At 42.2% G+C, this 26,843-nt stretch overlaps 1 protein-coding gene across 5 annotated transcripts in view; it reads left to right on the top strand.

Annotated features, from left to right (window-relative positions):
* IPP (intracisternal A particle-promoted polypeptide) overlaps positions 1-26,843 on the top strand; it is a 56,330-nt gene that overhangs the window by 12,705 nt on the left and 16,782 nt on the right. For 4 of the 5 annotated variants that reach the window (NM_001145349.2, XM_047419673.1, NM_005897.3 and 1 more), the window contains exons 4-8: positions 8,180-8,335; positions 10,151-10,318; positions 18,609-18,746; positions 20,932-21,054; positions 23,483-23,703. In NM_001145349.2, coding sequence (NP_001138821.1) covers positions 8,180-8,335; positions 10,151-10,318; positions 18,609-18,746; positions 20,932-21,054; positions 23,483-23,703 — 806 coding nt within the window. The remainder of the gene's footprint in view (positions 1-8,179; positions 8,336-10,150; positions 10,319-18,608; positions 18,747-20,931; positions 21,055-23,482; positions 23,704-26,843) is intronic. The other variant, XM_006710623.5, reaches the window with a different exon arrangement.

Below are 26,843 nucleotides of genomic sequence, written 5' to 3'. Positions count from 1 at the left end.
AATAAAAGTTATGTGGATGTACTTTATCTTAAAATATCTTATTATACTGTCCTTACCCTTCTGGTGATGATATGAGATGATAAAGTACCTATGTGATAAGATGAAATGAGGTGAATGACCTAGGCATTGTGTTACAGTGTTAGGCTGTTAATCAAAACTAATGTAAAACTTAAGAACTGTGTATTTCTGGGCCAGGCACGGTGGCTCATGCCTGTAATCCCCGCACTTTGGGAGGATGAGGTGGGCAGATCACTTGAGCCTAGGAGTTCAAGACCAGCCTGGGCAACATGGTGAAACCTGTGTCTACAAAAAATAGAAAAATTGGCTGGGGATGGTGGCATGTGCTTGTAGACCCAGCTATTCATGGGGCTGAGGTGGGAAGGTCACTTGAACCCAGGAAGCTGAGGCTGCAGTGAGCCAAGATTGTACCACCGTACTCTAGCCTGGGTGGCAGAGCCAGACCCTGTCTCAAAAAAAAAAAAAAAAAAAAAGAATTGTTTATTTCTGGAATTTCCACTTAATATTTTGGAAATATTAATGGGTAATTGAAATCATGGAAAGTAAAACTGCAGATAAGGGGACTACTATATTAATTTTGGGGTTACAAATACATTTTAGCAAGTAGGTATATTCACAAATAAGGAATACATCTTATTCCTTATTTAATTGTGTATAGGAATACACTATTTAAATGTTTAAACAAGGGAGAGAAATTATCCAGACACACATTGGCATGAATCAGGTGAGAATTTAGGAGTGGGACAAAAGCTTTCATGACTGAGTTGGTTTTTCCAAGTGTAGCAGACACAGAGTACTAACAGAAATTTCTTCTGCTAGGAGCAAGGCAGTGTCCCCTAGAAATGGGACATGTTTTCCTACAGCTTTTTCTTTTTTTTTTTTTTTTTTGAGATGGAGTCTCGCTCTGTCGCCCAGGCTGGAGTGCAGTGGCGCGATCTCGGCTCACTGCAACCTCCGCCTCCCGGGTTCATGCCGTTCTCCTGCCTCAGCCTTCCGTGTAGCTGGGACTACGGGCGCCCGCCACCACGCCCGGCTAATTTTTTTTTTGTATTTTTAGCAGAGACGGGGTTTCACCATGTTAGCCAGGATGGTCTCGATCTCCTGACCTCTTGATCCACCCTCCTTGGCCTCCCAAAGTGCTGGGATTACAGTCATGAGCCACCGCGCCCGCCTCCTACAGCCTTTTAAAATTATAATTTATAATTTAAAATTAGACACAGTGAGAGTGTCTAATTCAAGTCCCGAAGTGTTTTTTAAGCATGCCCAGTAGTTATCATCTAGTGGTATTTCAGTGAAGGAAAATACTGCAACGATCAAGGGAGAAGTAAATTGATTTTTTTTTAAGGCAACCATAATATTTTTCAACTTTGAAACTTTTCCTCTTTGATCATATTGGAGAAAATATAAGCAACTTGTGTAGAAAAATGAGACTATAAAATTCAGAGGGAGCAAAATCTTAAATGGTTAAGTTATATTACATGAAATGCGTAGATTTTTTTCCATAGTATATATATTATTGTACTTACAACTGAAATAATTTAGGCAATTTAATATTATTAGATATTTGATTATATGTCTGTTTCTTATATTTTAGAGAATGATTTTACTTATCTTTAAATGGAATATGCTTATTATAAAAAGTTTAGGTAATACAGAAATATAAAAACAACAATAGGCTCGGCGTGGTGGTCACAACTGTAATTCCAACACTTTGGGAGGCCAAGGCGGGATGATCACTTGAGACCAGGAGTTTGAGACTAGCCTGGGCTGAACATAGTGAGACCCTGTCTCTACAAAAAAAAATTTTTTTTTTTTTTTTTGAGATGGAGTCTCGCTCTGTCACTGAAGCTAGAACGCAGTGGTGTGATTTCGGCTCACTGCAACCTCCGCCTCCTGGGTTCAAGTGATTCTCCTGCCTCAGCCTCCCCAGTAGCTGGGACTGCAGGCCTGTGCCACCACGCCCGGATAATTTTTTGTATTTTTAGTAGAGACAGGGTTTCACCATGTTAGCCAGGATGGTCTTGATCTCCTGACCTCATGATCCACCCTCCTTGGCCTCCCAAAGTGCTGGGATTACAGGCGTGAGACACCGCGCCTGGCCTACAAAAAAATTTTTTTTAAAAATTAGCCAGGCGTGGCCTGGTGTGGTGTCACGCATCTGTAGTCCCAGCTACTCGAGAGGCTGAGGCAGGAGAATTGCTTGAACCGAGGAGGCGGAGGTGGCAGTGAGCCAAGATCGCACCACTGCACTCCAGCCTGGCGACAGAGCAAGACTCTATCTCACAAAAAAAAAAAAAAAAAAAAAAAAATAGCCAGGTCTGGTGGTGCTTGCATATAGTCCCAGCTAGGAGGATCAATTGAGCCAAGGAGGTCGAGGCTGCAGTGAGCTGTGATCATGCCACTTCACTCCAGCCTGGGTTAGAGAATGAGACCCTGTCTCAAAAAAAAAAAAAAAAAAAAAAAAGCAAAATTAAATCAATAAAAAATAAAATAAGATAAAAAATAAAGCAAGACCTTGTTTCTACAAAAACAACATTTAAAATTAGTTGCTGGGTGTGGTGTCTCATGCCTTTAATCCCAGCACTTTGGGAGGCAGAGGCAGGTGGATCCCTTGAGGTCAGGAGTTCGAGACCAGCCTGGCCAATATGGTGAAACTCTGTCTCTACTAAAAATACAAAAATTAGCTGGGCGTGGTGGCATGTGCCTGTAGTCCCTGCTACTCTGGAGGCTGAGGCAGGAGAATCACTTGAACCCAGGAGGTTGAGGTTACAGTGAGCTGAGATCGCACCACTGCACTGGAGCCTGGGTTACAAAGCAAGACTCCATCTCAAAATAAAAGCAAATAAAATTAGGCTGGGCACAGTGGCTCACGCCTGTAATCCCAGCACTTTGGGAGGCCAAGGCAGGCAGATCACCTGAGGTCAGGAGTTCTAGACCAGCCTGGCCAACATGGTGAAATCCTGTCTCTACTAAAAATATAAAAATTAGCTGGGTGTGGTGGCACACACCTGTAGTCCCAGCTACTTGGGAGGCTGAGGCAGGAGAATTGCTTGAACCTGGGAGGTGGAGGTTGGTATGAGCTGAGTTTGTGCCACTGCACTCCCACCTGGCAACAGAGCAGGACTCTGTCTCAAAGAAAAAAAAATAGCCAGGTGTGGTGGTGCATGTCTGTATTCCCAGCCACTCAGGAAGCTGAGGCAGGAGAATTGCTTGAACCCAGGAGGCAGAGGTTGCAGTGAGCCGAGATCTCACCACTGCGCTCCAGCCTGGGCGATAGAGTGAGATTCTGTATCTAAATAAATAAATAAGTAAATAATTTAAAATTACCCTGGCATGGTGGTGCCTACTAGTAGTCCCAGCTACTTGGTGGGAGGCCGATGGGGGAGGATCACTTGAGCTCAGGAGTTTGAGGCTGCAGTGTGCTATGACTGTGCCAGTGCACTCCAGCCTGAGCAACAGAGCAAGACTCTTGTCTCAAAGAAAAAAAAATAAGGAAGAAAAGAATAAAAATAAAAATAATTTTATACATATTATTTATAATACAAAAAATTTACCTAAATCTTGCTATAAGTTAACAAAAGAAGAAACTGAAGTAATAACTAATTTCAGATTTATGTTCCCTTGTCCCAAGAAATATTTATTCTAAAAGGTTCATGTAGAATTAAGGACAAAAGATGAAAATCATTAAAAGAATCATAGTTTCAAATTGTATTTCAATTTTAAACAGTATCAACTTTTTGCTAAGAAAAATTAGGTAATTAGCATTTTTATTTTTCTTTCCACTCCTTTTTTTGTGTCAAGGTGTATAGCCCTTATTTATATATATATTTGTAGTCATGATTCCCCTAGCTCTGTCCTTTTAGTTTTGAATTTAAATGGATTTGATGTTCTCTACCAGCTTTTTGACCATGGTCTTTTCATTGATGATTTTTTTTAATATGCATTGTTTTGGTTGGCTGGATTTCATCATCAAGTGCTTTTTTAAAGAAAGCCTCATGATTACTGTGTTTCCTGAATTCCTTCATATTTGAGAATTTCTATGTGTTGCTTTTTAAATTTCACACCAATTTGGGTGGGCATAATACTGTTTTTTTTTTTTGAGACGGAGTCTTACTCTGTCTCCCAGGCTGGAATGCAATGGCGTGATCTCGGCTCACTACAACCTCCGCCTCCCAGGTTCAATCGATTCTCCTGCCTCAGCCTCCCGAGTAGCTGGGATTACAGATGCCCACCGCCACACCCGACTAATTTTTGTATTTTTAGTAGAGACGGGGTTTCGCCATATTGGCCAGGCTGGTTTTGAACTCCTGACCTCAGGTGATCCGTCTGCCTCGGCCTCCCAAAGTGCTCAGGCGTGAGCCACCATGCCTGGCCAATATTCTTTAATTATAATGATTCTCCTATGTCTCCTCTCCTCAAATTTTGTAAGGCATAGTTTGGATTTTGGGGTTTTTTTTTTTAATGACTTGCTTATTTATTTATTTATTTATTTATTTATGTTTTTTTGAGATGAAGTCTTACTTTGTCACCCAGGCTGGAGTCAGTGGTGTGATCTCAGCTCACTGCAACTTCTGCCTGCTGGGTTCAAGCAATTCTTCTGCCTCAGCCTTCTGAGTAGCTGGGGACTACAGGCGTGCACCACTATGCCCGGCTAATTTTTGTATTTTTAGTAGAGATGGGGTTTCACCATATTGGCCAGGCTGTTCTCGAACTCCTGACCTTGTGATCTGCCCACCTCGGCCTCCCAAAGTGCTGGGATTACAGGCGTGAGCCGCTGCACCTGGCCATGACTTGATTTTTCTGATTGAATATCTAAGGAATTCTCTTTCATTATTCTTGATTTGTTTTGAAGTTGATCATTTTTTCATTAGACTGCCATATATCTTTTCTCTTTGAAATTTTAGTTTTTCCTTCATTTTGGGGAAATTTTCTTATGTGAAATTTCTAAATACTTTAAATGTTTCAAGGCCGGGCACGGTGGCTCACACCTGTAATCCCAGCACTTTGGGAGGCTGAGGCAGGCAGATCACGAGGTCAGGAGATTGAGACCATTCTGGCTAACACAGTGAAACCCTGTCTCTACTATAAATACAAAAATTAGCCAGGCGTGGGGGTGGGTGCCTGTAGTCCTAGCTACTCGGAAGGCTGAGGCAGGAGAATGGTGTGAACCCAGGAGGTGGAGCTTTCAGGGAGCTGAGATCGCACCACTGCACTCCAGCCTGGGCGACAGAGCTAGACTCTGTCTCTAAATAAATAAATAAATAAATAAAAATACTTTAAATGTTTCATTTGGTAGTCTTCTTCCTTTTATTGGAACTTCTTTGTCATTCATATTTATCATCTTCTAATGTTACAGTATTTTTTCTCTCTATTCACAATTATTTTCTCAAGCTTTTCCTCCACATCAGTAATTTGATTTTCAGTCATATCTATTGTTTCTAATTTATTAACTCTACAATACTGTCATTTCATTTCTTACTTTGTTTTCTTAGCAATGCATCTCATCTGTATTTGAGCTCTTGTTTTGCAGGACCTACATTGTTTTTTGTGTTTTTTTTTTTTTTTTTTTGAGGTGGAGTCTCGCTCTTTTGCCCAAGCTGGAGTGCAGTGGCATGATCTCGGCTCACTGCAACCTCCCCGTCCCGGGTTCAAGCGGTTCTCCCTGCCTCAGCCTCCCAAGTGGGTGGGATTACATGTGCCCACCACAACGCCCAGCTAATTTTTGTAATTTTTAGTAGAGATGAGGTTTCACCATGTTGGCCAGACTGGTCTTGAACTCTTGACCTCAGGTGATCCACCCGCCATAGCTTCCCAAAGTGCTAGGATTACAGGCATGAGACACCGTGCCTGGCCAGGAGCGACATTCTTAAACAATTGTATCATGTGAAGCACTTACGAGGAGTCTGTCTATTTGTAGCTGATGTTTTCTTCTGACTGAATTCTTCACTCTCTTATCTTCTTTTTCCTGGGATGTACTTTTTTTCTTTTTCCCCCGAGACGGAGTGTTGCTCTGTCACCCAGGCTGGAGTGCAGTGGCCGTGATATTGGCTCACCGCAACCTTTGCCTCCCGGGTTCAAGCAATTCTGCTGCCTCAGCCTCCTGAGTAGCTGAGATTACAGGCATGTGCCACCATGCCTGGCTAATTTTTGTATTTTTTAGTAGAGATAGGGTTTCATTATGTTGGCCAGGCTGGTCTCTTAACTCCTGACCTCATGATTCACCCCCCTCGGCCTCCCAAAGTGCTGGGATTAGAAGCGTGAGCCACCACACCTGGCCCTGGGATGTACTTTAATAAGGCATATGCTCTTTCTTGATATCTTGCTCATACTGAACTGTTGTTCATGTCAACTCTGTTCAAACTCTGTTCTGTTAATACAAGAACTAATTCTCCTTGGCACTCTTTCTACCTAGTACAACTACTTTGTTTTCTCTAGTCTAAAATTTGAAGGCTATGTGTTGTGTTCTTGCCACCTTTGTTCTGTTTTGTTTTGAGACAGAGTCTCACTCTGTCACTCACACTGTCATGCAGTAGGGCAGTCATAGTCACTGAAGCCTTGACTTCCTGGGCTCAAGTGATCCTCCCTCCTCAGCCTCCAGAGTAGCTGGAACTAAAAGTTCATACCACCACGCCCAGCTCATTTTAAAATTTTTTGTAGAGACAGGGTTTCACTGTGTTGCCCAGGCTGGTCTTGAACTCCTGGCCTCAAACAGTCCTCCCACCTCAGCCTCCCAAAGTGCTGGGATTACAGGCATGAGGCACTGTGCTGGCCCTTGCCACTTCTTTCTAGCCTGAGGCATGAGGGTGGTTGAAGACTAGAGATCCACTAGGGCTGAGATCCTTACTTAGGAACTTGACTTTGATATCTCTCTATTGAGTTCTTGTTATTTATCTTATATCTGGGTCTACTTAACCTAGCCAGAGATGTATCCCACTAGTGTGGACTTTGGCTAGCACAGTGTTCTGTTAGAGAGCAAATCCAGGTGATCCTTTCTACCTTAACTGATGGTCTTGTAAAGACTTTCCCTTTTAATGATTTTGTTCCTCAACTTTTCTCAGTTCTGCTTTTCATTCTTGATTCTGTCTGCAAATTATTATTAGTGAGAATTCTCAAGATTTTGTTAGTTGACCATTTTTCTTCAATATTGCTTCTTGTCTGGGATACAGAGAAAAGATTAGAGATGGAAGGATAGGAGACAATCTCTTGCTAGCATTATAATGCCTTTGTGCAAATTAGGAAATAGTGCCCTTTCAGGGAGAACAGGTCTTACAACTTGGCAAATGAACACAGGTTGACTCTCATGCCGTTTACCTCCTCAGCTAAGCATGCTTGAGCAAGGACAACCTACCTCATCATATGCATAATCCTTTTAGGATATGGTACTCATGCCACCAGAATTTATTTTTCTTGCTTTGTCTATCATTCTTAAATGTTAATGACATAATTTTATATCTTTTTTGTTACGTTGTAAGTATAGAATTTGTGGCTATTTTAATTTTTAAATTTTGTTAGATAATTGTGATCTTGTTTCAGTTTGCAATCTTTATTTGGAAATTCTTCTTTTTTTTTTTTTATTTTTGAGACAGAATCTCACCCTGTCATCCAGGCTGGAGTGCAGTGGTGCAATCCTGCTTCACTGCAAACTCTGCTTCCTGAGCTCAAGTGGTACTCCCACATGAACCTCCTGAGTAGCTGGAACTATAGGCATGTGCCACCACACCCAGCTAATTTTTGTATTTTTTGTAGCAGCAAGGTTTCATTCACCACATTGGCCAGGCTGGTCTCTAACTCCTGGGCTCAAGCAATCCACCTGACTTGGCCCCCCAAAGTACTGGGATTACATGCGTGAGCTACCACGTCTGGCCTGGAAATTCTTATGCATGGGGGGATACTGTGAAGCATATATATTTTTTAGTTGCTATTCTGCTTATATATGAAGCATATATTTTAACAACAACCTTTTTTATTCTTCATTAGTGAAGAAAATACTTCCCTTAAAATAGTCAGTACCAATATTTGGTATTGTAGGAAACAAACACCATTGTTTGATGATGATTTTTTATTTCTTGATGGTTAAATGTATCTTATCTTTATAGAAATGTGTTTTTTCAATATTATTTAAAAATTGTTTAAAACATTGTCTTTTTAAATATTGTTTTAGGAGTATCCGATTTTAATCTTCGTGTTGCATTGCAAACACTTCTGAAAGAGTACTGTGAAGTATGCAAATCTCCCAAAGAGAACAAGTTTTGTAGTTTTCTGCAGACATCTAAGGTTCGACCTCGGAAGAAAGCAAGAAAGTACCTGTATGCAGTAGGTGAGAGAGCCCTTAAAAAAGTAATAGAAATTATATTTGTGTTCCAGATCAAACCTTTTTAATATTTTGTTGTTATTACTATACATGTCAGAATATGTGGGTGTGTTGAAGAGGCATATTTAATTTCACATACAGACTACAGATTTATAAACTGCATTTATATATTATGACAAATATGTCTAAAAAGAAATAGCTATTCATTTGATATCTGTTATTCTGTGATCTAAACCTTTGAGTTCGTAGATTATCCAGTTATCAAATAAGTGACTAAAGAAGTGCTGCTTTAAAAGTAAAAAATTTGAATTATTGTGAAAAATAAAGAAAATAAATCTCAAGTTTTTAAACTATTCACAGTATCCTAGTCATTAGGAGTGATAGGAACCAATGATCTCCAAAGTGTGGTTATAAAAGATGATCCATAGGAATATCAGAGGAACATATTACAACTTCTTCTTTTTTTTTTTTTTTTTGAGGTAGTCTTACTCTGTCTCCCAGGCTGGAGTGCAGTGGCGTGATCTCGGATCACTGCAATCTCTGCCTCCTGGGTTCAAGCGATTCTACTGCCTCAGCCTCCTGAGTAGCTGGGACTACAGGCATGCGCCACCATGCCCAGCTAATTTTTGTATACCTATATATATATATATATTTTAAGTAGAGACAGGGTTTCACCATATTGGCCAGGCTGGTCTCGAACTCCTGACCTTGTGATCCGCCTGCCTTGGCCTCCCAAAGTGCTGGGATTACAGCCGTGAGCCACTGTGCCCTGCCACATATTACAACTTCTTTTCATTTTTATTTTAAAAAGCATTAAACTTACATCTGGATGTGGTGGCTCATGGCCTGTAATCCCAGCACTTTGGAAGGCTGAGGTGGGAGGATGGTGTGAGCCCAGAAGTTCAAGACCAGTCTAGGCAACATGATGAAACCTTGTCTTTATGCAAAAATACAGAAATTAGCTTGGTGTGGTGGTGTGTGCCTGTAGTCCCAGCTACTTGGGAAGCTGAAGTGGGAGGATCACTTGAGCCCAGGAGGCAGAGGTTGCAGTGAGCAGAGATTGTACCACTGCACTCCAGCCTGGGCAACAGAGCAAGACCCTGTCTCAAAAAAAGAAAAAAAAAGCATTAAACTTTATCAGCATTTAAAATACATATAATATATAGCATATTGATACATATAGTCCAGATCTGTATACATAATACTGTTTTTATGTAAGTACCTTATGTATGAGATAATTTATAATTTACATATATATAATTACATATATGTATTAATATTTAAGTATAATGCTTTTGGGTGCTTCTTAAAATTTTTTTGCCGATTGGATGTGTAGTCAAAACAAGGATTTCATCAGGAGGTTGATGAGGGAAGATCGAGGCTGCAGTAAGCTGTGATCACATCACTGCACTCCAGCCTGGGTGACAGAGTGAAACCCTGCCTCAAACACACACACACACACACACACACACACACACACACACACACACACAGCTTTCAACTCACTATTTTTAATTGAAAAAGACATTAATGAAAGTTATAATGAAACTTTCCTAATTTAACAGATAAGCAGTGCCTAGATTTATATTTCATATAATATTCTATTTATAACCAAGACCAAGTGGTAAAACACTGAGGCTAACCTTCTTACTGTATTTAAGCCACAATCTTTCAGGAATTGGCAAATTTAAGAATATTACATTATATGTATATAGAGAAAGTAATTTCTAAACCATTTATTTCTTGTTATATAGTAGTTATACTAAATGTTTAGATGTAGAACAGTAGATTTTCATTACTACCTTTTCTTCTTTTGTTTAGGTGGATATACTCGGTTGCAGGGGGGTCGCTGGAGTGATAGCAGAGCCCTCAGCTGTGTAGAACGTTTTGACACCTTTAGCCAGTACTGGACCACTGTGTCTTCACTTCATCAGGCTCGAAGTGGGCTGGGAGTAACAGTTCTGGGAGGGATGGTCTACGCTATTGGAGGTAATAATAAAAATGTCTTATTTTCTTAATTAGTCTTGTTGGCTATATTCTAATATGCTTTATGATTTATATGTTGCTATGTGATATACATATATCTAATTGTCCTCAATAAGTATTTACAGGAAGGAAGGAAGGAAGGAGGGAGGGAGGGAGGGAAGGAAGAGAAAGGGAAGAGAAGGGCAAGGGGAAGGGGAAGGGCAAGATGGTCAATATTTCATATCAGATGAATTCTGTGATTTATCACAAGCCAGAATACTTAGGTTTGGTTTTAATGAAGTTGTGGCGGGGTGCAGTGGCTCACACCTGTAATCCCAGAACTTTTGGAAGCCAAGGCAGGCGGATCACTTGAGCTCAAGAGTTTGAGACCAGCCTGGGCAATATATCGAGACTTTATCTCTACAAAAAATTTTAAAATGAGCCAGATGTGGTGGCACATTCCTGTAGTCCCAGCTACTTGAGAGGATGATGTGGGAAGATTGCTTGAGCCCAGGAGGCAGAGGTTGCAGTGAGCCATGATCGTGCCACTGTACTCCAGCCTGGGTGACAGAGCAAGACCCTCTCTCAAAAAAGAAAAGAAAAGTTGTTTATAGAATATGGCACCTGCCTGGCGTAGTGGCTCATGCCTGTAATCCCTCCTAGCACTTTGGGAGGCTGAGACAGGCAGATCACCTGAGGTCAGGAGTTCAAGACCAGCCTGGCCAACATGGTGAAACCTTGTCTCTACAAAAAATACAAAAAAATTAGCTGGGCATGGTGGCGGGTGCTGGTAATCCCAGCTACTCAGGAGGCTGAGGCAGGAGAATCATTTGAACCCGGGAGGCGGAGGTTGCAGTAAGCCGAGATCGCGCCATTGCACTCCAGCCTGGGCAACAAGAGCGAAACTCCATCTCAAAAAAAAAAAAAAAAGTGGCATCAAAATTTAGATCAATATTTATGATAGAATTTTTTTAAATTCTGAAAGCTGCATAATGATTCATTTAATAAACCAAGCAGTATGGATACTGGATACGTAAAAACCAAGTCAACAAAATAGTAGGATATATTTCTTGGTCGAAATCATGGTGTTTTGTAAAACTGTTTTTATGAATTATTAAATAATAAAGTAACTGGGACTATAGGCATGCATCACCATGTATGGCTCATTAAAAATTTACTTATTTATTTGATATGGAGTTTTGCTCTTGTTGTCCAGGCTGGAGTGCAATGGCATGATCTGGTGATCTCAGCTCACCACAACCTCCACCTCCCGGGTTCAAGCGATTCTCCTGCCTCAGCCTCCTCTGTAGCTGGGATTACAGGCATGTACCACCACGCCCGGCTAATTTTGTAATTTTAGTAGAGACAGGGTTTCTTCATGTTGGTCAGGCTGGTCTCGAACTCCCGACCTCAGGTGATCCATCCGCCTCAGCCTCCCATAGTGCTGGGATTACAGACATGAGCCACCATGCCCGGCCATTTTTTTTTTTTTTTAGAGATGGGGTCTCACTATGTTGCCCAGGCTGGTCTTGAACTCTTTATTTATTTATTTATTTATTTATTTTTTTTATTGATCATTCTTGGGTGTTTCTCGCAGAGGGGGATTTGGCAGGGTCATAGGACAATAGTGGAGGGAAGGTCAGCAGATAAACAAGTGAACAAAGGTCTCTGGTTTTCCTAGGCAGAGGACCCTGCGGCCTTCCGCAGTGTTTGTGTCCCTGGGTACTTGAGATTAGGGAGTGGTGATGACTCTTAACGAGCATGCTGCCTTCAAGCATCTGTTTAACAAAGCACATCTTGCACCGCCCTTAATCCATTTAACTCTGAGTGGACACAGCACATGTTTCAGAGAGCACAGGGTTGGGGGTAAGGTCACAGATCAACAGGATCCCAAGGCAGAAGAATTTTTCTTAGTACAGAACAAAATGAAAAGTCTCCCATGTCTACTTCTATCCACACAGACCCGGCAACCATCCGATTTCTCAATTTTTTCCCCACCCTTCCCGCCTTTCTATTCCACAAAACCGCCATTGTCATCATGGCCCATCCCCAATGAGCCGCTGGGCACACCTCCCAGACGGGGTCGTGGCCGGGCAGAGGGGCTCCTCACTTCCCAGTAGGGGCGGCCGGGCAGAAGCGCCCCTCACCTCCCGGATGGGGCGGCTGGCCGGGCGGGGGGCTGACACCCCCACCTCCCTCCCGGATGGGGCGGCTGGCCAGGCAGAGGGGCTCCTCACTTCCCAGTAGGGGCGGCCGGGCAGAGGCGCCCCTCACCTCCCGGATGGGGTGGCTGGCCGGGCGGGGGGCTGACACCCCCACCTCCCTCCCGGACGGGGCGGCTGGCCGGGCAGAGGGGCTCCTCACTTCCCAGTAGGGGCGGCCGGGCAGAGGCGCCCCTCACCTCCCGGACGGGGCGGCTGGCCAGGCGGGGGGCTGACCCCCCCACCTCCCTCCCGGACGGGGCGGCTGGCCGGGCGGGGGGCTGACCCCCCACCCCACTCCCGGACGGGGCGGCTGGCCGGGCGGGGGGCTGACCCCCCCTCCCCCCTCCCGGACGGGGCGGCTGGCCGGGCGGGGGGCTGACCCCCCCACCTCCCTCCCGGACGGGGCGGCTGGCCGGGCGGGGGGCTGACCCCCCCACCTCCCACCTGGACGGGGCGACTGGCCGGGCAGAGGGGCTCCTCACTTCCCAGTAGGGGCGGCCGGGCAGAGGAGCCCCTCACCTCCCGGACGGGGCGGCTGGCCGGGCGGGGGGCTGACCCCCCCCACCTCCCTCCCCGACGGGGTGGCTGCCGGGCGGAGACGCTCCTCACTTCCCAGACGGGGTGGCTGCCGGACGGAGGGGCTCCTCACTTCTCAGAAGGGGCGGCTGCCGGGCGGAGGGGCTCCTCACTTCTTAGACGGGGCGGTTGCCAGGCAGAGGGTTTCCTCACTTCTCAGACGGGGCGGCCGGGCAGAGACGCTCCTCACCTCCCAGACAGGGTTGCGGCCCGGCAGAGGCGCTCCTCACATCCCAGACAGGGCGGCGGGGCAGAGGTGCTCCCCACATCTCAGACGATGGGCGGCCGGGCAGAGACGCTCCTCACTTCCTAGATGGGATGGCGGCGGGGAAGAGGCGCTCCTCGCTTCCTAGATGGGATGGCGGCCGGGCAGAGACGCTCCTCACTTTCCAGACTGGGCAGCCAGGCAGAGGGGCTCCTCACATCCCAGACGATGGGCGGCCAGGCAGAGACGCTCCTCACTTCCCAGACGGGGTGGCGGCCGGGCAGAGGCTGCAATCTCGGCTCTTTGGGAGGCCAAGGCAGGCGGCTGGGAGGTGGTTGTAGCGAGCCGAGATCACGCCACTGCACTCCAGCCTGGGCACCATTGAGCACTGAGTGAACGAGACTCCGTCTGCAATCCCGGCACCTCGGGAGGCGAAGGCTGGCGGATCACTCGCGGTTAGGAGCTGGAGACCAGCCCGGCCAACACAGCAAAACCCCGTCTCCACCAAAAAAAACCGAAAACCAGTCAGGCGTGGCGGCGCGCGCCTGCAATTGCAGGCGCTCGGCAGGCTGAGGCAGGAGAATCAGGCAGGGAGGTTGCAGTGAGCCGAGATGGCAGCAGTACAGTCCAGCTTTGGCTCGGCATCAGAGGGAGACCGTGGAAGGAGACCGTGGAGAGAGGGAGAGGGAGGGGGAGGGGGAGAGGGAGAGGAACTCCTGAGCTCAAGTGATTCTCCTGCCTCAGCCTCCCAAAGTGCTGGGATTACAAATGTGAGCCATGGCACCCAAACTGTATATAAAAAAAAATTGTAATTAATTTATTTTTATTTTTATTTTATTTATTTATTTTTTAGTGGGCCAGGGTTTGGTGAGTCATCCCCACCCAAAAATTGTATAAATATTTTCTGACTGTGGTACTGTCAGTTTAAATTATGGTGATATAGGAACTATTTGATTTTTATCTTTACTTTGGAGGGTATATAACTCAGAACTGTTTATTAAATCAAGAAATGACATGTGCAACAGAAAATTCCAACAAGGAAATTAGAATTTTAAGCAATAACTTCCTGTCTGCATAAAGAGCACAATTCTGTATAGTCTTTGACTACAACTTTAATAATTCCTTTTATGTGTCTTCTGTCAATTATGCATAGTTTTATCACTTGAACTCTTCTGTTTAACCTAGGGTCAGAGGTCCTTCTGTGACACTTGCATATGTATGTATTCCATCCCCTGATACCACAGAAGTGCTTACAGAGGCTCTTCAAAACTGCTATGACTTCACTAGCTATTAATACTGTCAACATTGCTATCTTAAGATATTCCTTAATATATAACTTTTAAATACTTTTAAAATTATAAAAGTAATTGAGGTTTGTTGTACAAAATTTTGTTAAAACAGAAGCATATGAAAAAGAAATTTTAAATCCCTTATGCCATAATCATACCACCCAGAATAATCGCAGTTAACATTTTGGTTTAGTTTCTTCCCGATACATACATATCTGGGTTCATATTCTAAATGTTGGGTTTTTTAAATTAAGATATAATTCACATACCAAATTCATCATTTAGAGAATATAGTTTAGTGGTTTTTAGCATAGTCACAAAGTTGTGCAATTGTCACCACTATCTCATTCCAGAACATTTCATCACCCCAGAAAGAAACACTGTACCCATCAGCAGTCACTTCCCATCTCTCCTCCTAAACCCTAGTAACCGCTAATCTACTTTATGTCTCTATGGCTTGCCTATTCTGGACATTTCATATAAATGGAATCATATAATATTGTGTCTGACTTCTTTCACTTAGCATGTCATAACACGTATCAGTACTTCATTTCTTTTTATGACTGAATAATATTTCATTGTGTGGAAATAATCATATTTTGTTTGTTCATTCTGTAGTTGATGGACATTTACATTGTTTCCACTTAATATTCAAGTAAAAGTTTTTGTGTAGATGTAAGTTTGATTTCTTTTGGGTATATACTTAGGAGTAGAATTGTTAGGTTATATGGTAACTCTATATTTAACTTTTTGAGATATATATTGTTATTAACTTTTTCTTTTTTTGCTTTTTACTTACATAAAATATTTATTTTTATTTCATTTTTTTATTTTTTGAGATGGAGTCTCGCTCTGTTGCCCAGGCTGGAATGCAGTGGTGCGATGTCGACTCACTGCAACCTCTGCCTCCTGGATTCAAGTGATGCCTCAGCCTCCCAAGTAGCTGGGATTACAGGCATGCACCACCACACCTGGCTAATTTTTGTATTTTTAATAGAGATGGGGTTTCACCATGTTGGCCAGGCTGGTCTCGAACTCCTGAACTCAGGTGATCTACCCGCCTTGGCCTCCCAAAGTGCTGGGATTACAGGGTGAGCCACCACCCTGTATTTTTATTTTTATTTTTTGAAACGGAGTCTCACTCTGTCACCCAGGCTAGAGGGCAGTGGCTCAGTCTCGGCTCACAGCAACCTCTGCCTCCCGGGTTCAAGTGATTCTCCTGCCTCAGCCTCCCAAGTAGTTGGGATTACAGGCATAGACCACCATGCCTGGCCAGTTTTTTGTTGTTGTTGGTTGTTTGTTTCTTTTTGTTTTGAAACGGAGTCTCACTCTGTGCCAGGCTGTAGTGCAGTGGCGTGATCTCGGCTCACTGCAACCTCTGCCTCTCGGGTTCAAGTGATTCTCCTGCCTCAGCCTCCCAAGTAGCTGGGATTACAGACACGCACCACCGCGCCTGGCTAATTTTTGTGTTTTTAGTAGAGACAGGGTTTCACCATGTTGGTCAGGCTGGTCAGGCTGGTCTAGAACTCCTGACCTCGTGATCTGCCCGCCTTGGCCTCCCAAAGTGCTGGGATTACAGGCGTTAGCCACCACGCCCAGCCGGATTTCTTCTTTCAAGAAGTAACTTTTTAGATACTTAGTGCATTTTAAAAATTGTCTATTTTGTTGATTTGTAGGTGCATCAGGGTTCCCAAGACCACTCCCAGTTTTAGTGATTTGCTAAAAGGACTTAAAAGGTTTAGCATGTAATTGTCTCCACAGCTAAGATTTATTATAGTGAAATGTAGAAAACAAAATCAGCCAAAGGAAAAGGCACATGTGATGAAGTCTGGAAGGAACCAGTTGACAGCTTTCCAGAGTCCTCACCCAGTAGAGTCACAGTCACACATGACATGCTTAATTCCTCAGCAATTAGTTGTGACAACATGTGGGAAGTGTTGTCTACCAGGGAAGCTCATTAGAGACATAGTGCCCAAGGTTTTTGCAGGCAGCTGATGACATAGCCTCCTTCTTCCTAGCACATACCAAAATTCCAGACCTTCAGAAGGAAAGCGTGTGTTCAGCATAAACCACATTGTTTGTACAGTTTAAGCACAGTGAGCCACTCTTACCATTTTGGGAAAATTTTGTATCAGTGGAGGGAACTGTTAACCAGCCATATTCCCAGATTCCAGCAAAGGGTCAATCTTCCAAGTAGGCCTTTCTAAGGACAGGCATTTTTAGGCCTGCTATGTTAATTATTTTCTGTACAATAGGAATTTTGTTTATATTCAGGATTCTAGACCCTCATAAAGTCATATGTGCTATAAGTATCTTCTACTGTGCTGCTTCATCTTTTATTCTCTTTATGGTATCCTTTGATGAACAGATATTTTTAATTTTAGTGTAGTCAAATCTCTTATTTTTTTCCCTTTATTGTTAATGTTTCTTGCATCTTATTTAAGACATCTTTCCCTACTCCAAATCATAAGGACCTATACCTTCATTGTTTTATACAGTTTTATAGTTTTTCCATTCATACTTATGTCAGTAATCTACCTGGAATTGAGTTTTTATGGATAATATGCAGTAGGGCATTAGTTTCCTCCCAATGTATAATCAATTATTCTAGCATGAAAGATTGTTGTTTCCCTACTGCTCTGTAGTGCTAACTCTGTCTTCTATCAAGTAATCATATAGGTACGTTTCTGTTCCTAGAATTTCTTTTCTGTTCCATTAGTCTCTGTCTATCCCTTTCTTAATTACTATAGCTTTGTTATATGTCTTGATATATGATGAGACTGTTTCTCCTTATTCTTTTCCGAGAATGCTTGGCTCTTCTAGGCCCTTTGTACTTCCATATAAATTTTAGAATCAGTTTGTCAAATCTATTAAAAAATGGATTTTTTTGATTGGGAATACATTAAATCTTTAAGTCAATATGGGGTAACTATCATCTTTACATTGACTCTTTTTTTTAAATACAAAAATCTTCATGATACATTGACTCTTATAATTCATGAGCATTATTCATCTCTTCATTTATTTAGATGTTCCACAATTTAAAACTTTAAATAAAATTTATAAATGTTATCCATAGGGGCATTGCATAATCTTTGGTTAGATTTACTCCTAAATATCTTATTTTAAAATTCTAAATTACCTGGACATGGTGGCACATGCTTATAGTCCTAGCTACTTGGGAGGCTGAGGCAGGAGGATCGCTTGAGTCCAGGAGTTTGAGGCTTCAGTGAGCGATGATTGTGCCACTGCACTCTAGCCTGGGTGACAGAGCCAGACTCTGTCTCTAAAAATAAATAAATAAATAAATATCAAAAACATGAAAATTTGGGTATCTTTTTAAAATTTTTTCATTTTCAGGCTGGGTGCGGTGTCTCACACCTGTAATCCCAACACTTTGGGAGGCTGAGGCGGGCGGATCACGAGGTCAGGATCTTGTGATCCTGGCTAACAAGGTGAAACCCCGTCTCTACTAAAAATACAAAAAATTACCTGGGCGCGGTGGCAGGCGCCTGTAGTCCCAGCTACTCAGGAGGCTGAGGCAGGAGAATGTCATGAACCCAGGAGGCGGAGCTTGCAGTGAGCCGAGATTGTGCCACTGCACTCCAGCCTGGGCGACAGAGCGAGACTCCGTCTCCAAAAAAAGAAAAATTTCATTTTCTGTTTGTTGTTAGAAAAGGATTACATTAAAACTCAAATTGTACCAGGGCCAGCCACCAAAACTAATATGTGAAAAAAAATATAGAAGTGTTAAAATGCAAATTGTATCCTAAAACATTACATGGATTGTTTGATTGTTTGGGTGGTAGAAATAGATAATAGGAAAATTGTGCCTCTGTTTCATAAGTGGGCTTTAATAAATGACAGTGCTCTAGATTCAAAATACTGCTTGACAGGCAAATGAAAGTTAATGAATAGTATAAAATCAGACATAATGGTTGAATTTTTGACGATAGGGAATACTACTGAATATTGTGTTATGGTGCTAGTCTGTTGGCATTACTAAACTTTATAATATTTGTCTCTTTTATTTAACTCAGGTGAAAAGGATTCAATGATTTTTGATTGTACTGAATGCTATGATCCAGTTACTAAACAGTGGACAACTGTAGCTTCGATGAATCATCCCCGCTGCGGCTTAGGAGTGTGTGTGTGTTATGGGGCTATCTATGCTTTGGGTAATTATGTTGTTCAGTTTAAAGATAGCTAATATTGTTTATGTATTTTTAATTTTCATTTTTGTGGATACATAATAGGTATATATATTTATGGGGCACATGAGATACAGGCACATAATGCGTAATAATCACATCTTGTAAAATGGGATATCCATCTCCTCAAGTATTTATCCTTTATGTTACAAACAATCCAGTTATACTCTTCTAGTTATTTTTAAATGTACAATTAAATTATTGACTATAGTCACCCTGTTGCACTATCAAATACTAGGTCTTATTCATTCTTTTTTTTTTTTTTTTGTATTCATTAACCATGCCCACCTCCTCCCTCCCCACCCCCACTACACTACCCTTCCCAGCCTCTGGTAACCATCCTTCTACTCTCTATCTCCATGAGTTCAATTGTTTTGATTTTTAGATCCCACAAAGAAGTGAGAATATGCAATGTTTATAAAGATAGCTAATATTATTTAAATTATTGGGTTCTGATGACTTTGGAGATGTTCTTTCCCTCTTTTCAGCTCTTTACATTCTTTTTTTAAAAACCAACTGGCTTTAATCTGTATACTCTGGAGGCTGGGCAAGGTCTTAGGGGAAGGTGTAGGTGGGGGTCAGCTGGTCAGGGATTGGAGGGGGTGCTCCTGGGCTGTCCATCCTAAGGAGGCACTCAGGCGGGGGATGGTACAGGAGGACCTGAGCACCTGCAGGGCAGAGCCTTGTTGGGCAGATGCATCAGTTCTTGGGCAGATGGTAGATGCCTGCCTGGCCAGTTGGCTGGCTGACCAAGCTGCTAGTCACACACATTCTTCTGCAGGTATCTCTGGAGCTACTGTATGCTGTAGATGCACTTGTCAGCTCTTTAAATTCTTATTCTCAAAATTGTATTACTGGAGATAAAATATAGATGAGACATCCAGTGAAGTACTTTAGCTGAGTAGTTAAATCTCATTATTTTAATTAAGCATATAACATTTTTACCACCCTGCATAGTGGCCTAATTATGTCTAATATAAGAAAGCACATACCAAAAAATTAAATATATCACAAGGAAGTTCTGTACTATATTATTTTTATTCTTGTATATGTAGTGAATGATTATGAGCAAGGTATTCTACTTTGATTATCTGTGTAACAAATGTTACAATCAAGGTTGTTCCTAGGGAAAGTTATAAGTTGATGTAGCTCTCAGCCTCCCCTATTTTCTCCTTCTCACTCCTTCTTCAGTTCACTGTAACTCAGTGTCTTCCCCTCATCCAAACCTATTGTGGAAAAAATATCAGTTACCTTAAGGTGAATTTAATCTATTATATTTTATTACCTCCATAAGTATCTGCATTTTTCAGTTAATTGTGGGAAATAATATTTTCAGTTTTAAGAATTGGAGAGTGTTGGCTGGACATGGTGGCTTACGCCTGTAATCCCAGCACTTTGGGAGGCTGAGGCGGGCGGATCATGAAGTCAGGAGATCGAGACCAACTTGGCTAACATGGTGAAACCCTGTCTCTACTAAAAATACAAACAAAATTAGCTGGGCGTGGTGGTGGGCGCCTGTAGTCTCAGCTACTCCGGAGGCTGAGGCAGGAGAATGGCATGAACCCAGGAGGTGGAGCTTGCACTGAGCCTGAGCCGAGATTGCACCACTGCACTCCAGCCTGGGTGACACAGTGAGACTCCATCTCAAAAAAAAAAAGAATTGGAGAGTGTTAAGAAAATGTTATTGTGGGGATAAGGGGCCTTTTTGAAATTCCTGAAATTACACCAAATACACGGTATACTCTGATTAGGTTTGGAGCTGGCCTTGATTAGGATAAACATTCTAAATAGCCAGAAGTAATTTCAAAAGGTAGTTTTGCAAAATACCATCTTTTCCATGCAATATATTGAAGTTTTGGGGCTTTTGTTGTTTTGTTTTGTTTTAGTCTTTAGTGAAAAATAGGGAGTTAAAAGACTTGAATTCCTTTTTTTTTTTTTTTTTTTTTTTCTCAAAAGAGCATCAGTTATGCAAAGGACCTGAGTTCTACTCATGGTCAAATTCTAACTTTTTCATGGGATCGTGGAACAGATAACCTCTTTGGCTCATGTGATATCTATAATATGAAGTATTTGGTTTAGATGTTTTCTAAGGTCTTTGTCATAAATAAGAATCTTTTATCCCGGAAACAAACATTTTTCTATTTCATTACAGGTGGATGGGTTGGAGCTGAGATAGGGAACACCATTGAACGATTTGATCCTGATGAAAATAAATGGGAAGTAGTTGGTAACATGGCTGTGTCACGCTACTACTTTGGGTGCTGTGAAATGCAAGGTAATCACTTTATAAAATATTTTTCCTCAAAATGTAGTTCTGAAAAACTGTTTGAGTTTGAGGCCTTATTTTCACAAAAGTATATTTTAAGTCTGTTAGTATTGAATGACTGATACTAGCAGCATAGAAGTTCTGCTTTTTACCTCCTATCATTGACTTTTATTTCTGTATTGCTAAAATAATTGATTTGATTTTTTCAGAAATAAACAAGGCTAGAATTAAAAATTGTAAGTAAGCAGGAATATCTGACTAGCACAATAAACATTTGAAGTGTTATCTGTTATTGTCTTTTCTCTCCCATGAACATCTAAGTAAATATTTCTAAGTAGGGAGAGAGTATCAGAAACAGTTTTTGGGTGTGGTGGCTCATGCCTGTAATCCCAGCACTTTGGGAGGCTGAGGCAGGAGGATCACCTGAGGTTAGGAGTTCGAGACCATCCTGGCCAACGTGGTGAAACCTCATTTCTACTAAAAATACAAAAATTAGCTGGGCATGTTACTACACACCTGTAATCCCAACTACTAGGGAGGCTGAGGCAGGATAATTGCTTGAACCCAGGAGGCAGAGGTTGCAGTGAGCGAGATGGTGCCACTGCACTGCAGCCTGGGTAACAGTGAGACTCTATCTCAAAAAATAAATAAAAATAAATTATTTTCATGGTCTATAGGCTTCTTTAGCGTTTTTTTTCTACAAAGTACATTGTGATGCCGCTCACATAACATATAATCCTGTGACAGATTTAAAGGATTCTATGTTGCATATTAAAGTGGTATACAAACATTATTTTAATTGTCTACTATACTCTTGAGAGGTAGGTAGTAAGCTGTTTTAACTAGAACCTAATTCTCTGTGTAGGATTGGAGAGCTGATTTTTATGCACCTGTGGAGAAGAAAGCAACTTTCCCATTGTTGTATGACAGCCTAACCTGCTAAAGTTCTTTCTGCTCTGTGGTTACCTTCTCTGATTTCCATTAGCAAATTATGCAGTGCAGACTATATCTTACTGTTTAATATGATATTGTCTCCTAGTTGTTTTATATTTATTATTTTTATCATCCCATCTGAAATCATAGAGCTAGCTAGAAAGGGATCTTTGAACTTATCTATGTCAACTTCTTTAAGTTATAGATGAGGAAGCTGAAGATCAGGAAGGTTGTGAGTTATCTTTTCTCATAGCTGGTTACTGGCAAGGCTGGAACTAAAACCCAAGTTTACTATACTAATATTTAGCCCACATTTCTTTTTTTTTTTTTGAGATGGAGTCTCGCTCTGTCGCCCAGGCTGGAGTGCAGTGGTGCAATCTTGGCTCAGTGCAAGCTCTGCCTCCCGGGTTCACACCATTCTCCTGCCTCAGCCTCCTGAGTAGCTGGGACTACAGGCGCCCACCACCACACCTGGCAAATTTTTTGTATTTTTAGTAGAGATGGGGTTTCACCGTGTTAGCCAGGATGATCACAATCTCCTGACCTCGTCATCTGCCCACCTTGGCCCCCTAAAGTGCTGGGATTACAGGCGTGAGCCACCGCGCCCGGCCTAGCCCACATTTCTTAAAATATAATTCTTTGTAACTCCTCACTTTAGAAGATGAAGTACAACACTAGAGATTCAAAAATAATTGTAGATTGCCAGAGTTTATAAGGAAATTTTATGTAAATTACATTATATTTTACCGTAGTAATTTTTTTTTTTTTTTTTTTTTGAGAGAAGGTCTGGCTCTGTTGCCCAGGCTGGAGTGCAGTGGTGCAATCTTGGCTCACTGTAACCTCTGCCTCCCACGCTCAAGCCATCCTCCCACCTCAGTCTCCTAAGTAGCTGGGACTGCAGGCACACACCACCATGCCTGGCTAATTTTGTATTTTTTGCCCAGGTTGGTCTCAAGCTCAAGTGATCCGCCTGCCCTGTCCTCCCAAAGTACTGGGATTGTGAACCACTACACCCAGCTGTGTACTGTAGTAATTGATTCTGATATCTTAATTTAGCCATATACTATTTAAATTTAAATTCCCTACTTTATGTCCATCTGAGCAACAGATAGGCTGTCACTAAAGAGGGCCATGTAATTCCCAGCTTAAGTGCATGACATTTTTAGGGAAAAAAAAATCCATGTTCCTTTCCTGTTTTATCTATGGGTGGATCTGGAACCTGAGATCACCAAGCAGACAATTAGATAGAAAATCCTTAGCTGACAGATTATTTCAAGTTATTTGAAAACTCAATGCTATTTTAAATTAATTCCACTAATTTTTTGCAACTTGCTGAATAGTGAGGTGATAAAGTTGACAAAGTTGATTTTCTCTCTTAAATAATAATGTAAGCCCTAGATTAAACATAGCATCGGCATTGGAAACATAGATCACAATCATTACTTTTCATCATTATTTGTATCTCACTATCTGTAGCATCTGAGCAAAAATATTCCACTTCCAGGTTTAATTTATGTAATTGGGGGCATCAGCAATGAAGGAATAGAACTTCGTTCTTTTGAAGTCTATGATCCACTTTCTAAGCGTTGGTCTCCACTTCCTCCAATGGGAACCAGGAGAGCATATCTTGGTGTGGCTGCACTCAATGACTGCATCTATTCTGTTGGAGGATGGAATGAGACCCAAGATGCTCTTCATACTGTAGAAAAATATTCCTTTGAAGAGGTAGGTTGGATGATTTCAGATATTTAGTATCCTGATATTCTTTTAATGTCTGTAAGATCTGTGGTGATGCACTCTTTTTCACTCATGATATTGATCATTCGTGGATTTTTTTCCCCTTTTTTCTTTCCAAAGAAGAAACTTTTGGTGTCACTGCTTTTCTTCTATTGTCAATTTTCTGTTTTATTGATTTCTGTTCTTACTTTTCCATTTTTCCTATTTGTTTTTGATTGAGTTTGCTCTTCTTTTTCTAGACTATTTATTTATTTTTTAATTTTTTAAGAGACAGGGTCTTGCTCTGTTGCCCAGCTGGAGTGCACTGATATAATCATAGCTCACTGTAACATTGAACTCCTGCCAAGTTAATTAAAAAAAAAACTTTTTTTGTACTGCTAGGCGTGGTGGCCCACGCCTGTAATCCCAGCACTTTGGGAAGCCAAGATGAGAGGATAGCTTGAGCCCAGGAGTTCAAGACCAGCGTGAACAGCATAGTGAGACTGTATAATAAATAACAAAATTAGTTGGGCATGGTGGTATGCACCTGTGGTTCTAGCTACTCAGGGGGATGAGGTGGGAGGATCACTTGAGCCTAGGAGGTCAAGGCTGCAGTGAGCTGTGATCAAGCCATTGTGCTCCAGCCTCGGTAACAGCAAGAGACCCTCTCTCAAAAGAGTAATTTTTTTTTTTTGAGACGGAGTTTTTCTTTTGTTGCCCAAGCTGGAGTGCAGTGGCACCATCTCACCTCACCACAACCTCCGCCTCCTGGGTTCAAGCAATTCTCCTGCCTCAACCTCTTGAGTAGCTGGGATTTCAGGCATGCGCCACCATACCTGGCTAGTTTTATATTTTTAGTGGAGACGGGGTTTCTCTATGTTGGTCAGGCTGGTTTCGAACTCCCTACCTCAGGTGATCCGCCCGCCTCAGCCTCCCAAAGTGCTGGGATTACAGGCATGAGCCACTGCACCCAGCTGAATTTTTTTTTTTCTATGGTTAGGGTCTCGCTATGTAACCCAGACTGATCTCAAACTCCTGGTCTTAAGCGATTCTCCTGCCTTGGCATCCCAAAGCACTGGCATTACAGATCTTTCGGAGCCACTGCGCTCCCCAAATCCCAACAATCTCAGCTCTTTTTTTCTAGATTCTTAAAGTGGAAGCTTAGATGATCGATTTTAGACCTTCCTTTTTCTATAATAGAAACTGTAAATTCTCTTCAAGCACTGCTTTAATTTCATCCCACATATTTTGATATGTTGCCTTTTAATTAGTTGGCATTTATATTAAAATATTTTTTAGGTCAGGTGTGGTGGCACATGCCTGTAAACCCAGCACTTTGGGAGCCCAAGGCGGATGGTGTGTATATATATATATATTTTTTTTTTTTTTCTTTTTTTTTTTGAGATAGAGTCTCTGTCACCCAGGCTGGAGTACAGTGGTGTGATCTGGGCTCACTACAAGCTCCGCCTCCTGGGTTCACGCCATTCTCCTGCCTCAGCCTTCCAGTAGCTGGGACTGCAGATGCCCGCCACTACGCCTGGCTAATTTTTGTTGTATTTTTAGTAGAGACAGGGTTTCACCATGTTAGCCAGGATGGTCTCGATCTCCTGACCTCGTGATCTTCCTGCCTCGGCCTCCCAAAGTGCTGGGATTACAGGCATGAGCCCACCGTGCCCGGCCTTTTTTTTCTTTTTTAAATTTTTCTGGTAATTTCTTGTTTGACTAATGGGTTGTAAGAACAACATTATTTAATTTAAAAATATGTGGGGATTTTCCAGATAAATCTTTTATTATTGACTTCTAATTTATTTCTATTATAATCAGAAAACATATTTTGTATTGCTTCTGTCTTATTAATACGTCATGTACATCTGAAAAGAATTTGTATTCTGCTATTGTTGAATGTGGTGTTCTAATGTCCATTAAGTCAAGTTGGTTGCTTTTTTTTTTTTTTTTAGACGTCGTCTTGCTCAGTCACCAGGCTGCTCAGCTCACTGCAAACTTGGCCTCCCAGGTTCAAGTGATTCTCCTGCCTCAGCCTCCCGAGTAGCTGGGATTACAGGCACGCGCCACCATGCCTGGTTGATTTTTGTATTTTTTTAGTAGAGCCAGGGTTTCACCATGCTGGCCAGACTGGTCTCGAACTCATGACCTCAAGCAATCCACCCGACTCGGCCTTCCAAAGTGCTGGAATTACAGGTGTAAGCCACCACTCCTGGCCTCAAGTTGGTTTTTTAGTGTCATTCAGATCTTCCCTTGTCTGTCCTACTTGCACAATTGTTCTGTCAGTTTTTAAAAAAGGAGTGTTGGAATGTCCATCTATAATTATGGATTTGTCTGTTTCTCCTTTCATTTCTGTCAGGTTTAGCTTCACATATTTTGAAGATCCATTATTAGATGCGTACCCATTAAGTTTATTATGTCTTCTTAATGAATGGATTCTTTGATTTTTATCTCTGGTAATATTCTTTATACTGAAGTCTACTTTTTTTTTTTTTTTTGTGACAGAGTCTTACTCTGACGCCTAAGCTAGAGTACAGTGGCATGATCAGAGCTCACTGCAACCTCTGTCTCCTGGGTTCAAGCGATTCTTGTGCCTCAACCACCCACGTAGCTGGGAATACAGGCATGTGCCACCACACCCAGCTACTTTTTGTATTTTTAGTAGAGATGGGGTTTTGCCGTGTTGGCCAGACTGGTCTCAAACTCCTGACCTCAAGTGATCTGCCCACCTTGGCCTCCCAAAGTGCTAGGATTACAGGTGTGAGCCATTGCACCCAGCCTCTAAGCTTTCTTTTCATTAGTGTTTTCATGGTATATTTTATCTTCTTCTTTCCTTCTACTTCTGTGTCTTTACAAACTGCACTTCTAGACAGCACATAGTTGTGGTCTGGTTTTTTTTGTTTTTTGTTTTGAGACGGAGTTTTCACTCTGTTGCCAGGCTGAAGTGCAATGGCGTGATCTTGGCTCACTACAACCTCCGCCTCCCAGGTTCAAGCAATTCCCTGCCTCAGCCTCCCGAGTAGCTGGGACTACAAGCACCCGCCACCATGCCTGGCTAATTTTTTTTTTCTTTTCTATTTTAGTAGAGATGGGGTTTCACCATGTTGGCTGGGATGGTCTCCATCTCCTGACCTCGGGATCCACCC

The sequence above is a fragment of the Homo sapiens genome, chromosome 1 (genome assembly GCF_000001405.40).
Source record: "Homo sapiens chromosome 1, GRCh38.p14 Primary Assembly".
In the NCBI taxonomy this organism is placed as follows: domain Eukaryota; kingdom Metazoa; phylum Chordata; class Mammalia; order Primates; family Hominidae; genus Homo; species Homo sapiens.
The sequence above is the reverse complement of the archived record's forward strand: the minus strand, read 5'-3'. Positions and strand labels throughout refer to the sequence as shown.